This window comes from Homo sapiens, chromosome 12 (assembly GCF_000001405.40).
Source record: "Homo sapiens chromosome 12, GRCh38.p14 Primary Assembly".
Taxonomy (NCBI): Eukaryota; Metazoa; Chordata; class Mammalia; order Primates; family Hominidae; genus Homo; species Homo sapiens.
Genome location: NC_000012.12, coordinates 2,953,999 through 2,967,802, shown reverse-complemented (window position 1 = coordinate 2,967,802; position 13,804 = coordinate 2,953,999). Strand labels below are relative to the sequence as shown.

General features: G+C 51.7%; 1 protein-coding gene, 1 long non-coding RNA gene and 1 pseudogene across 4 annotated transcripts in view, besides 3 other annotated features; 2 read left to right on the top strand and 1 right to left on the bottom strand.

The window, feature by feature from the left end:
* Positions 1-8,406, bottom strand: part of TEAD4 (TEA domain transcription factor 4) — an 81,280-nt gene extending 72,874 nt beyond the window's left edge. For 2 of the 3 annotated variants that reach the window (NM_003213.4, NM_201441.3), the window contains exons 1-2: positions 8,322-8,406; positions 7,763-7,855 (exon numbers count right to left, since the gene is read on the bottom strand). The gene's annotated coding sequence lies outside the window, so the exon portion shown is untranslated. Of the gene's footprint in view, positions 1-7,762; positions 7,869-8,321 lie in introns of those variants that run through there. The other variant, NM_201443.3, reaches the window with a different exon arrangement.
* Positions 633-1,132: an enhancer, noted in NCBI's record as "H3K27ac hESC enhancer chr12:3075837-3076336 (GRCh37/hg19 assembly coordinates)". NCBI's record gives its function as "activates a minimal SCP1, AML or CMV promoter by ChIP-STARR-seq in primed H9 embryonic stem cells {active_cell/tissue: H9 hESC(primed)}" and the evidence as "EXISTENCE:reporter gene assay evidence [ECO:0000049][PMID:30033119]".
* Positions 3,045-3,870: an enhancer, noted in NCBI's record as "H3K27ac-H3K4me1 hESC enhancer chr12:3073099-3073924 (GRCh37/hg19 assembly coordinates)". NCBI's record gives its function as "activates a minimal SCP1, AML or CMV promoter by ChIP-STARR-seq in primed H9 embryonic stem cells {active_cell/tissue: H9 hESC(primed)}" and the evidence as "EXISTENCE:reporter gene assay evidence [ECO:0000049][PMID:30033119]".
* Positions 7,501-8,236: an enhancer, noted in NCBI's record as "H3K27ac hESC enhancer chr12:3068733-3069468 (GRCh37/hg19 assembly coordinates)". NCBI's record gives its function as "activates a minimal SCP1, AML or CMV promoter by ChIP-STARR-seq in naive H9 embryonic stem cells {active_cell/tissue: H9 hESC(naive)}" and the evidence as "EXISTENCE:reporter gene assay evidence [ECO:0000049][PMID:30033119]".
* Positions 7,755-10,205, top strand: LOC124902859 (uncharacterized). The gene is made up of 2 exons (XR_007063159.1): positions 7,755-8,062; positions 9,578-10,205. It is a non-coding gene; the product is annotated as an uncharacterized LOC124902859 (long non-coding RNA).
* On the top strand, positions 13,465-13,563 carry RNU6-1315P (RNA, U6 small nuclear 1315, pseudogene; annotated as a pseudogene).

The following is a 13,804-nucleotide window of genomic DNA, read 5'->3' as shown; positions in this document are numbered from 1 at the left end:
TCTGTAAAGTAGAGGTTGAAAAACAAAACAAAAACAAACCAAACCTTTCTCACAGGGCTGAGAGGATGAAATGAGATGATGAAGGCAGAAATGTCTAGAATAATGGTCTAGCACCTAACAGGCATTAAAATGTTCATTTCCCTCTTCCTTCGTTTTTCAGCCCAAAACCCCAAGCCTTTTCCCTCAACATGAATGAAGAGTAAGTCCCACTCTATTCTAGACTTACATAATTGATGCTTTGAACTTAAATGCAGGATGTTACACTTAGACCTATTACATTTCTTCTTGAGATAAGTATATGTTCAACATTGCTCAATGTCAAGTAATTTTTAAAAGCTAAAAACTAAAAACAATGTTTTAAAGTCAGTAGGGCATAGTTAAATATAGTATAGTCATAGAATGCAATGTTACTTGGATCCTTAAAATTATGGTTTTAAGTATTTTTTATGACATGCACTATTACCCATTAGATAGCATTCAGTAGGGAAAAAAACGGGATAGAGTATAATTGCAATTATGTTAAAATATATAGATTTGCATGAACACAAATTTGGAAGGACATTCACCGAAATACCAGCCCACCCGAATTATAGTATTATGTATCATTTTTTTCCTTTATGCCTTTCTTTATTTTCCAGGGTTCCTACAATGTACATATATTAATTTTAAGAGAGAAATATTTTTAAACTTCATCTTTCTACTTAATGGCAGCATTCCAGTCAACTGAGATGATTTTGAACCCTGGTTCTATCAGCCAATGTTTGCTACCCTCAACGCCCATAAAAACGAGAAACAGGGTCAGGTGCGGTGGTTCACTCCTGTAATCCCAGCACTTTGGGAGGCCAAGGCAGGTGGATCGCCTGAGGTCGGGAGTTCAAGACCAGCCTGGCCAGCATGGTGAAACCACATTTCTACTAAAAATACAAAAATTAGCCAGGCGTGGTGGCAGGTGCCTGTAATCCCAGCTACTCAGGAAGCTGAGGCAGGAGAATCGCTTGAACCCAGGAGGCGGAGGTTGCAGTGAGCCGAGATCGCACCACTGTACTCCGGCCTAGGCAATAGGGCGAGACTCCATCTCAAAAAAAAGAAATACGCCGGGCATGGTGGCTCACACCTGTAATACCAACACTCTGGGAGGTCAAGGCGGGCAGATCACAAGGTCAGGAGTTCGAAACCAGTCTGACCAATATGGTGAAACCCTGTTTCTACTAAAAATACAAAAAAATTAGCTGGGCATGGTGGCGTGTGCTTGTAATCCCAGCTACTTGGGAGGCTGAGGCATGAGAATTGCTTGAACCCAGGAGGCAGAGGTTGCAGTGAGCCAAGATCACGCCACTGCACTCCAGCCTGGTGACAGAGCAAGACCCATCTCAAAAAAAAAAAAAGAAAGAAAAAGAAATGAGAAACAGAAGACACAGGCCACACAGGCTCCTGGGAGAGGCTCGTATCTATGGAAAACATAGAGGACTAAGCCAAAGACAGCCCTGCGGCACATCACGGGGACCTCTTCACAGTAACACAAGCTCAGGAGTTAGGAGTCAGCATCCAGCGTAGTGGGTCAAGCAGTCACACATCCATCTCCCTGCTGTATCAGCCAGACCACACTGCTTTCTCTTGTACCAAGAAGATCATTAGACTGAAAAGGCTTACTGAACATTCCTCCACCCAAGTTAGAGTTGTTTTCTCCAAGACTTGGTAGAGTGAACCCAGGTTGGCTACTAGGTATCTCACTTCATTTTCACACTCTCCACATATTTTTGTTCAAAAATCTAACCTAGGCTGAGTGCAACCGTGTACACCTGCAGTCCCAGCTACTGAGGAGGCTGAGGTGGGAGGATTGCTTGATCCTGGGAGGTCAAGGCTGCATAAGCCATGACCGCATCACTGCACTCCATCCTGGGTGACAGAGCAAGACACTGTCTACGATAATAATAATAATGATAATTTAAAAAAATTTATGGCCGGGCGCGGTGGCTCACGCCTGTAATCCCAGCACTTTGGGAGGCCGAGATGGGTGGATCACAAGGTAGAGAGATCAAGACCATCCTGGCTAACATGGTGAAACCCCGTCTCTACTAAAAAATACAAAAAAATTAGGTGGCGGGTGCCTGTAGTCCCAGCTACTGGGGAGGCTGAGGCAGGAGAATGGAGTGAACCCGGGAGGCGGAGCTTGCAGTGAGCCAAGATCACCCCACTGCCCTCCAGCCTGGGCGAAAGAGCGAGACTCCGTCTCAAAAAAAAATTATTACACTGAAATTATTTTTGATAACACTAGGGTTTAAGAAAACACCAACATTAACTTCACTTTTTTTTTTTAAGGTGGCTACTAGAAAATTTTAAATTGGCAGGGTATGATGGCTCACATCTGCAGTTCTAGCACTTTGGGAGGCCAAGGTAGGAGGATTGCTTGAGCCCAGGAGTTTGAGTTCTGCCTGGACAACAAAGCGAGACCCTACCTCCACAAAAAAACTTTACAAATTAGCCAGGTGTGGTGGCGTATACCTGTAGTCCCAGCTACTCAGGTTAAGGCAATGAGGATTGCTTGAGCCCAGGAGTTCAAGGAGTGAGCCATGATTGCACCACTGAACTCCAGCCCGGGTGACAAAGTGAGTCTCTGTCTCAAAAAATAAAAAATCATTAAAAAACAAAATCTAACCAAGAATTGGGCAAGGAATCAATTCTAGGAGTCTGCCATTTCCAGGGTCCCCATCTTGCTTCCTTGAAGAAACAAATCAAGACAGCATGTGTTGTCTCTCCTACTCCTACCCTCCTTCCAGGTCCTGGCAGTGGTTCTGGGGTCACTCCTACACCTTCTCTTGGGACCCCAAAGCCTATCTGTGAGAATCCGGCAACCTGAACTCAGGCAAAGCAGCTTGTGTGGCCTGACTCACAATTCTCTCAGGGTAAGCTGTGGCCTCCTCACAAAGTCTGGTCGACCCTTACAAAGATGGAGGCAAGACAAGAGTCCTCCGCCTCCAGAACGTTCCACCCACTGTCTCGCTCTGCCTGCGGCTAAAGAAATCCCCCATGGCCAGGCGCACGGTGGTTCACGCCTGTAATCCCAGCACTCTGGGAGGCCGAGGCGGGTGGATCACCTGAGGTTGGGAGTTCGAGACCAGCCTGGCCAACATGGAAATACCCTGTCTCTGTTAAAAATACAAAAAAAAAAAAAAAAAAATTAGCCAGGTGTGGTGGCAGGCACCTGTAATCCCAGCTACTCAGGAGGCTGAGGCAGGAGAATCGCTTGAATCCAGGAGGCAGACGTTGTGGTGTGCCAAGATTGCAGCACTGCACTCCAGCCTGGGCAACAAAAGCAAAACTCCGTCTCAAAAAAAAAAAAAAAGAAAGAAAGAAATCCCTCACGTTGTCCAGCGACCCCAGCCTGGGGACTCCCTGTCCAGAGCTTTGCCCACAACCCAAGATCGCCGTTCCAGCCACAACTGCCCAAGGCTCACAGCCAAGGTGGAGACCAGCCAGGGAGCAACAACACCAGCCTTTTATCCCAGCCAGGATGATTCGCAAAGACATCTCAGGGGCTTGAGGGGAAGGGGAAGACCAAGTCCTGGCAGGGGCGAGCGTGGCACGAGCGGAGGCTGGCAAACACGAGCCCTGTGCTAGTAAGAGCCGAAAGCTCAGCACAGAACCGGCACGGAGCTCTAGCTTCACACTGAGTCAACGGCCCCCTTTGGAGGAGGGCCCCACCCCAGAGGCCCACCCTATGTGTCATCAGCCCCTCCCCAGCGCCCTCTGCACTGCCCCCAACCCTCTACCGGATATGCAATCCCATCCCCCAGGAGGGTCACCCCTGGCTCTGCACAGTTCCCATTTCCTGCCCCTGGTGACTCCTCTGAAGTCTATTGTTCCCATGAAGTTTGGGTCAAAGGAAGCAGAGTCCCCACCCATGGGGGCCCGCCTGCCCACACCAAGCCAAGGAGCCAGCCCCCGCTACAGGGAGCCTGGCCCATCCTCTGGCCCTTCCAGGAGCCCCCCTGTATTAAATGCAGGAGGACGTGGGCATAGATCTTGGAGACCTGAGTTCTAGTGGAAATTTTCCCAAATATCCAGTCCCCACCAGCTAAGGGCCCCAGGGCCAGATCACACAGGTGTGATTAGAATCTCCCAGATAGTAGCGGGAAAAACCAAAAGCAAGGGAAGAACCGTCATCTCAGAAAGCGTCCAGGCAAAAGTGGAATTAGAAGATAGGAGCTGGAGACCGTGTTCTCCCCAGTGACAAAGCCCTGCCCCCACCTCCACCTGGGCCCTCCTGGCTGCTGACAGCCCCCTCACCCCCCTTTACTGGACAGCAGCTGTTCAGCTCCAATTTCAGAGCTTTAAAGGGAGCTGTCGTCCAACCCCGGCCAACAAAGGGTCATGGGGGCAAAGGAAGACAGGCAAGGTAAAGCCACCCTCACAAGCCCTGAATTTCCAACTGCCACTGGACTGACCTCAACTGCAGGAAAGGCAAGGTCCAAAGCTGGGGACCAACGTCCTCCACTTCCACTGGGAAGGAGAAGGAGGAGCCACAGGTTTGGCAACAGGCATTGCTTTGTGACAGTCACCGGGGCAAGACTCCAGAGTGGAAATCAAAGGAGGTTGTGACATTTGCAACCCAGGAGATCTAAAAAGATAGGGAGAACCTTCACCTGCCGGCTCATCAAGGGGAGAGGAGGGTGTGTTTTAAAGACCCGAGGGCCCCTTCCCGACTCCACAGATTCTACAGTGAGATGGCTCCTTCCCCAGAACAGCTATGTGCTTTCTGCCAGGTCGGAGCAGAGTATTTCTGCCTCCTACCAACCTTATCTGAGCGACAAGGCATGGCCCAAGTCAGTCTGCTCCAGCTTCCGCGCCTGTTGGATGAAGGCGGCTAGGGGGAGTAGGGGGTGTACAAGCACTGCAATCCACAGGGCAGGAGACAGAACGCCAAGGGGAGAGCATAGGTTCTAATCCCTGCTCTGCCACTCACCAGGGTTGCGGCATTAAGCAAGTTACTGTCCCTCTAGGAGCATCAGTTTCCCCATCTTTAAAATGGGAGACTTAGGCCAGGCGCAGTGGCTCACGCCTGTAATCCCAGCACTTTGGGAGGCCGAGGCGGATCACCTGAGGTCAGGAGTTCAAGACCAGCATGGCAAACATGGCGAAATCCCGCCTCTACTAAAAATACAAAAAACGGCTGGGAGTGGTGGCTCATGCCTATAATCTCAGCACTTTAGGAGGCCAAGGTGGGCAGATCACCTGAGGTTGGGAGTTGGAGACCAGCCTGACCAACATGGAGAAACTCCGTCTCCACTAAAAATACAAAATTAGTGGGGCACGGTGGCGCACGCCTATAATTCTAGCTACTTGGGAGGCTGAGGCAGGAGAATCGCTTGAACCCGGGAGGCAGAGGTTGTGGTGAGCCGAGATCGCACCATCGCACTCCAGCCTAGGCAACAAGAGCGAAACTCCATCTCAAAAAATATATATATATATTTATATTTATATATATATTTATATATTTATATTTATATATATAAATAAATATATATAAATATATATATATGAAACTAGCCGGCCGGGAGGCTGAGGCAGGAGAATCGCTTGAACCCAGGAGGCGGAGGTTGCAGTGAGCCAAGATCATGCCACTGTACTACTGCCTAGGCGACAGAGCGAGACTCCGTCTCAAAAATAAATAAAATAAAATAAAATAAAAATAAAGTAAAATAAAATAAAATGGGGGACTTAGATGCTGACATTAGGGTATCTAATAATGTTCAGCAAGCTCACCCTGGGGCCAAGGCAAAACTGGAATCAGAAAATAGAAGCTGGCACTCTGTTCTCTGGTGACAAAGCCCTGTCTGTCCCCCTCCCTCCTGACCTGGGCCACTAGGACCCTGGATTCCTAAGGACGCGGAACACAGCGTAGGGCCTGGCTCACAGTAAATGCTCGATTCATGTTTGCTAAATAAACATGATAGACAGGGCAAGGTTTCTCAAATGGTGCTCAGAGAAACACTAATTCAAAAAACACTAATCCCTAGGAAAAAGGGGTTCTTACTGAAATAAGCGAAGGAAACACTGGATACAACAGCTATCCTATGGAGTCCATGGGATGTGCCAGGCACTGTGCTGCTGGGTGGGGGCTCTGCAGACATCGACTTTTCACAAGAAACTTTCTGGACAGAAAAGCTCCGCTCGTATTACCCACCAGGAAACAGCCTGAGAGCCTTAAAGGTAGTGAGAGACTCAGGATTTGTACCCTGGTCTGCCTGACCCCAAACCTGTGCCCTTTCCACTCCATCAGTGCTGCTTTTAGACCAGTCGCACACCAGGCCGAAGAGGTGAGAGGGTGAGGTGTTTCCCACAAGAACATCCACATCCTCAGGATGGATGGAGGAGCAAGGACGAGAACCCCCAACCCCCGAGACAGTTTCTGGCTCCTTCCTTCCAAGAAGCCCTACACATGATATCCACGTTGAAGCCCTCATGCAACAAGCTACTCATTCCTCTTCTCAAAGGAAGTGCTGAGTGTCTGGCAAGTTGGAAAGAATGAGGGATTCTTCTACTGGGTTACCTGGTCAGCTCCGAGGAGAGTTAAACCAGGAAAAGTAGTTCAGGCTGGTATACCTCCCTGTTTGTCCTTGAGGGCAACTTAAAAGCACTATTTACACAAGTCTCCAGATTCAAAACTGTCTCCTTTTCCCGGGGATCCACCCCGACAAACCTTCCCAAATCTCACCCGCCCATCCCATCCCCCAAAGGCAAAGATCTCAACTTCCTTCAGCCTCCTACCAGCTTTTTGACCTATTCCAGGCAAGCACAAGACCCTCGCCCTGAGAAAGTCAGCCTCCTGGCTCCAAGAGGCAGGTGGAGCCAGCTTCCTTCCAGCTCTGCCCGGTCCAGGGGAAACGGAGCCTGGAGGCCACACACTCCAAAACCACAGTCAAATTATCCCTGCACTCAGGCAACCAGAGACACTGACTCTTGCCCACGGCTATGTAGGGAGGAAGAACAGTCCTAGCCAGAACCAACATCCTCGAAGAGAAACACATACTCAAGAGACGTGGCATCACACACCTACTCAGAGATACTCACTTTCAGACAGCCCCTTCTCACGCAGACATATACACACACTCTGTCACTCACGTTCAACACAAACAAATACGCCCACTGGAAGCCAAGGTGAGCCACACGTGAACAGACATCACCCACACAGAGACTCAAAGCGAGGGGGACTCGCAGTCAGGTGTCACACAGACTCAGCACAGACGCAGTCAGTCCGCGGGGCCTCAAGTGCCTCAGCACAACGGGGGAAATGTTCACTTTGGGGTTTGAAAGTTCTGCTCCCTGGATCGATCCACTAGTCCCCATCAGGAAACACAGCAGCTTCCCAAGCCCTGAGGTGTAGGACCTTTTGCAGGGGTCCCCCGACTTTCGCATCGCCTTTGCACTTAAAACAGGCAGTCCGCTTACCTCCAGGTCTCTCCCTTCCAGGCTCGAAAAGGGCCCAGCAGAAAAGAGGCATGGGTGCTGGGTCTCTTCTGTTGCCGATGCTCTCGGTTCTGCCTCTCCGGTCCTTTCCACACCGGCCTCCCTTTCCCCCAAAGTCCCGAGTGTCCACCCCCCTTACCCGCCCCTGGAGCCGCTTCGCCTCCAGCAGCCTCAGTCGCGCCGCCTCCACGTGCCTCGCTCTTCCCAGTCTCGTCCCGGGAGGGAGCTCCGCACGCACCGCGCAGACTCCTGCCCTCCGGCAAAGTCCTACCAAGTCCCCGCGCCCCAGCCTTACCGGTCCCAGGGTGCGGGAAGGTGGGATGGGTGCGCTAAGCCAGTTCCAAGGAGTCCGCCCCGAGCGCCAACTCTTCCGGCCGCGGCGATCGTTCTGCGGGGACGACAGGGCGTCAGCGCGCAGAGCCGGGCTCCGGCCGGGGCCGACGGGCGGCGCAGTGAAGGCGGGGCCGCGGGGCCAAGCCCACCCCGCGCCGACCGGCCCCGGTGCGCCCAGCGGAGCGGAGCGGAGCGCGCGGAGGGAGGAGTTTTCCCAGAATGGGACTGACGGGAAAACACGGGGATCCCTATTCCTGGAGGAGTGAGTCAACCGGGAGCGAGGAGGGGAGCGCGGGGCGGACAGGAGGGAAGCGGGAGAGGGGCAGCGAGCAGCGCCGGAGCGCGGAGGGAAGCCAGAGGTCGGGACGGAGCGCGTCGGAGCGCAGAGGTCCAAGGCGGGAACGCGGGCGGCGGAAAGAAAAGAGCAGCCGAGCACGCGGCGCGAGCGGTCGGCTGCGGCGGCGTGGGGCGCGCGGCCCGTGAGGGCGCCGGCGGGTGCGGCGGGCGCGGGCGCCTCTCACCTGGCGGGACGCGGCGGCGCCGGAGCTGCGGCCCTCCCGCCCCCTGGCCTCGAGTGTGCGAGGAGGACGCTGGAATGCGCGGAATGAGGGCTGGAATGAGATGCGCGCCGCGGCGGGAGGGAGGGAGCCGGAGGGAGTGGCGGCGGGGCCACCGGCACCTCGGGGAGGAGACTGCGCCGCGCGCGGGCGGGCGAGGGGCCGGGCCGCCGGGGCGGGGCGGGGCCGGGCCGGGCCGGGGCGGGCGGCGGGGGAGGGGGCCGAGGGACGGCGGGGACCCCTCCACCCGGGCCTCGGCTGCGGCCCCCACGCCCACTAGCCCTTCGATCTCTCCGCTCCGACTGTTTGGCTGCTCGTTGCGCGCCCCGCGCCCTCCCCTCCTGGCGGGGTCCCGACTCCCTTTCCCAGGAGCCGAGAGCCTTCCTCTTCGCCGGGGTGGGGCTGTCCCGGGGGCGGGGGGGTGGACGGGGCCCAGACTCCCGCCCCGCCACCCGGCGTCCCTCCGCACGAGTCCCTGGGAGGCCGGGGAAGGGGCGGGCTCCCGGCGCGCAGGAAGGGCTGCTCCCTTCCTGCGGCTCCCACCAAAGGACACTTGCTCCGGGGAACCAGGAAGCAGGAACTCGCGGGCTCCATTCCCAGATCCGCTGCCAGTGCCCCCTCGCTTGCCCTCCCCGGCTTTAGCTCTTTCCGTTTTTCTCTCCTGCCCCTTGGGCATCTGTAAAACCGCCACTACGAGTAAACCACATGGGAGAAAGGGCACTCGGTTTGAAGTCCATGTGGCATGCCATGGGACGCCTTCTGGGCTCAGTGACTCAATGAATATTCATCTAAGATGTGTGATGAGTCCAGATACTGTGAAGATCAGGATCAGCCGTCAGCACCTGCCCTCAAAGAGCTCAGAGTTTAGCTGGGGAGGCCTCGGTGTATACTGCCATCGGTGAGAGTCTGGACTTCAGACACACATGCCCAGGAGTCTCTTATTGGGGCAGGAGGTGCTGGAAACACGCTGGGCTCCTTGTTTGGAGACGCTTAGGACAAACGGGCTTAAAGCAGTGTGCTGGCAGGTAGCGCCATCATCTACCTGGCCAGGAGACTGAAACCAAAGGACTTTTGGCTTTTTCCAAAAATCAAATCCAACCTTTTCTGGGGCATTATCACTTAGCCTTGTGTTGGGTGGTTGTCTAGATCTTATCTCCCTTGCCAAACAGAAACTTCCTTGAAGACAGAGTAATGTCTGATTTATCTTATCTTTCACACAGATCCAGCCTGGTGCCTGGGATAGGGAAGTGCATGATAAATGCTGCATAAATGAAAAACAATTGCTACCGTGGAAGATATTGAAAGGAAAGTGCTATCGATGCCAAAGTTGTTTCCAAGAGAGGTATTCCAAAAGTGTTTCAAGCAATGACTGAGCTAAGCATCCAGTCCTGCAAGGTGAAGGCGTTGAAGACGCAGCCCTCATTTGAATAGATGAATTGTGGTATTCTTGTTAAATAATGAATCATATCAAGGCTTGGTCACACCTCATGCACATGAAAAGACCAAAACGCAAGGCAGCATATCAGCGCCACGTGAAGTACACACTAAGCACCAACTATTTAATTCAGCAATCATGGGGGGCCCGGTGGCTCACGCCTGTCATCTTAGCAATTTGGGAGGCCGAGGCAGGTGGATCGCTTGAGCCCAGGAGTTCGAGATCAGCCTGGGCATCATGGTGGCCTGCACCTGTAGTCCCAGCTACTCAGGAGGCTGAGGTGGGAGGATAGTTTGACCCCAGAAAGTTGAGGCTGCAGTGAGCCGTGAATGCACCACTACACACCAGCCTGGATGACAGAGCGAAACCCTGTCTCAAAGTAATTAATAATAATTATATTAATTCAGCAATCATTGGAGTGTTTGTTGACTTTGACACCGCACTAAGGGAAGGAGTAGGTCCCTTTCCTCAAGTAGTTCCAGTCTAGGTGAGAAGACAGACAATTATGCAAAGTTCAATGGGAACCCAAGGGAAGGAACAGTGAAATCCAATTACAGTGCATTTGATCTAGCTCTTGAGGATAAATGAGGGTTTGCCAAACTGAGACTGGAAACCCCATTTAAGACACATGGAATAGCACCTACAAAGGTGAGGCAGCCAGTCTGCTGGTGTGTTTAGCGAAGCTATGTAAACTGGTGTGGCTGGAGAATAGAGATGTGGATAATAAGATTGAAGGAAGTGGATACCAGACTTTGAAGGTCATTGCGTGCCATGCTGAAGAGTTAGGCATCAAAAAAGACACAAGTGTGACTTAATCAGCAGCACCATCAAGAAGACCGTCTTGCAACAGTCTTGCAGTTGAACTGGAGACTCGGGGTGCCCTAAAACTCAAGCAGTGGTCCTGAGGTTGAGGAGGAGGGGAAGGAGCTAGGAAACGGTTCAGATCATTTGGCTGTGTAGTGAGAGAGAAAACAAAAATCGCTAACCTTTAACAGCTGAACAATGGTTGGTGTCAGTAAGTGAGATAAGAATTCAGGGCTGGGCACAGTGGCTCATACCTGTAATCCCAGCACTTTGGGAGGCTGAGGTGGGTGGATCACGAGGTCAGGAGTTCCAGACCAGCCTGACCAACATGGAGAAACCCCATCTCTACTAAAAATACAATATTAGCTGGGCGTGGTGGTGCATGCCTGTAATCCCAGCTACTCGGGAGGCTGAGGCAGGAGAATCACTTGAACCCAGGAGGTGGAGGTTGCAGTGAGCTGAGATCACGACATTGCACTGCAGCCTGGGCAAAAAGAATGAAACTCCGTCTCAAAAAAAAAAAAAAGAAAGAAAGAAATTCAAGCAAAAGGGGAGTGGGGTGAGGTCGGAGGGGAATCCAGCCAGGTTCAGGGGACGGAGAGGAAAGCAGGACAGAGTCCAGAGTAGAAACAGGAAAGCAACCCTAGTGTCACGGTTAGGGTAGACTGCTGACAACGAACTTGGAGATCTTTATTCCCTCTAAGTCTTAACTATCCAAGACCATCAGTGATCCAAGCTGGGAAGGTGTGTCTTCAGGATCTTGACTTTCTGGCCCATACCCTTATAGTCTCCTGGAGAGCTCTGGAGCTTTGGGGACCTCAGGCTTGGAGCTGTTGAGGAATGTCTAGGTAAAGGAAAGTTAACAGATGTACAAATTCTGAAGAGTTAAAGGCAAGGTGATTTTACCCACACATCAGCCCTTCCCAGGGATGTTTACATTTCTTAAGGGACAGGACCCTAATTCACTGACCCTCAGGAATGAGTCTTTTGGTGGAAATATTTCAGCTGTCTGGATCCTACAAATGGATCCTCACTCAAGCTTGATGATGGACTGTGCAGGAGGAGGAGAGTAAGGGTGTGGGCAGGGCTGGGTGGTTTCATGTAGGGGTATTTGTGTTGGCTATATTCCAAAGTCAAAGTTAAAAATCAATTAATTGGGCACAGTGGCTCACATCAGTAATCCCAGTACTTTGGGAGGCCGAGGTTGGAGGATCTCTTCAGCCCAGGAGTTTGAGACCAGCCTGAGCAATATAATGAGACCTTACCTCTACCAAATAAATAAATAAATAAAAATTAGCTGGGCATAGTAGCACACACCTCTGGTCCCAGCTACTTGGGAGGCTGAAGTGGGAGGCTTGTTTGAGCTCGGGAGGTCAAGGCTGCAGTGAGTCGTGACCTCGCCACTGCATTCCAGCCTGGGCGACAGAGCAAGACGTTGTCTCAGAAAAAATAAATAAAATAATATAAAATAAACCAGACACATTCATGATATAAGTGGAAAAGCAGATTCTAAAAATTATATATAGGGGCTGGGCATGGTGGCTCACACCTGTAATTCCAGCACTTTGGGAGGCTGAGACAGGCGGATCACCTGAGGTCAGGAGTTCGAGACCAGCCTTGCCAACATGGTGAAACCCCATCTCTACTAAAAATACAAAAAATTAGCCAGGCGCGATGGCACGCGCCTTTAGTCCCAGCAACTTGGGAGGCTGAGGCAGGAGAATCACTTGAACACAGGAGGTGGAGGTGGCAGTGAGCCTAAATCGCACCGTTGCACTCCAGCCTGGGCAGCAAGAGTGAAACTCCATTTCAAAAAATAAATAAATAGCTGGGCGTGGTGGCTGACACCTGTAATCCCAGCACTTTGGGAGGCTGAGGCGGGCGGATCACCTGAGGTTGAGAGTTCGAGACCAGCCTGACCAACGTGGAGAAACCCCGTCTCTACTAAAAATAGAAAATTAGCCGGGCGTGGTGGCGCATGCCTGTAATCCCAGCTACTCAGGAGGCTGAGACAGGAGAATTGCTTGAACGCTGGAGGCAGAGGTTGCGGTGAGCAGAGATTGCGCCATTGCACTCTAGCCTGGGCAGCAAGAGCGAAACTCCGTCTCCAAAAAATAAAATAAAATAAATAAATAAATAAAAACTATATATCAGATGACCCTGTTTTTGAAAAAAGTTGAAAAAGTATTTTAAAGGGATTATTTCTGAAAGTTTGCAAATTAAGGGGATCTAGTTTCTTGTTTTTATTCTTTTTTTTTTTTTTTTTAAGACAGAATTTTGCTTTCGTCGCCCAGGCTGGAGTGCAATGGCACAATCTTGGCTCACTGCAACGTGCGCCTCCCAGGTTCAAGCAATTCTCCTGCCTCAGCCTCCCCAGTAGCTGGGATTACAGGCATGCACCACTGCACCCAGCCCTATTCTTTCTTTTCTTTTCTTTTTTTTTTGAGACGGAGTCTCGCTCTGCTGCCCCGGCTGGAGTGCAGTGACGCCATCTCGGCTCACTGCAAGCTCTGCCTACTGGGTTCACGCCATTCTCCTGCCTCAGCCTCCTGAGTAGCTGGGACTACAGGCGCCCGCCACAACGCCGGGCTGATTTTTTGTATTTTTTAGTAGAGACGGGGTTTCATCTTGTTAGCCAGGATGGTCTCAATCTCCTGACCTCGTGATCCACCCGCCTCGGCCTCCCAAAGTGCTGGGATTACAGGCGTGAGCCACAGCGCCCGGCCTCCTATTCTTTATTTTCTGTAACAAACTTGTAGTTTATAATCAGGGACAAATGTGACTAGAACTATATATCTAACCCTTCCCTAATTTCTCCACATCTTTAAAAAACAAAACCCTTTACACATATGAAAATATCACATTGTGGTGCTTGCCTGGGCAGCACATATACTAAAATTGGATACTGATACAGAGAAGATTAGCATGGCCCCGAGCTCACAAATTCGTGAAGTCTTCCATTAAAAAAAAAAAAAAAAAAAAAAGGCCAGGCGCGGTGGCTCACGCCTGTAATCCCAGTACTTTGGGAGGCCAAGGCGGGCGGATCACGAGGTCAGGAGATCGAGACTATCCTGGCTAACACGGTGAAACCCCGTCTCTACTAAAAATACAAAAAATTAGCCGGGCGTGGTGGCAGGCGCCTGTGGTCCCAGCTACTCGGGAGGCTGAGACAGGAGAATGGTGTGAACCCGGGAGGCGGAGCTTGCAG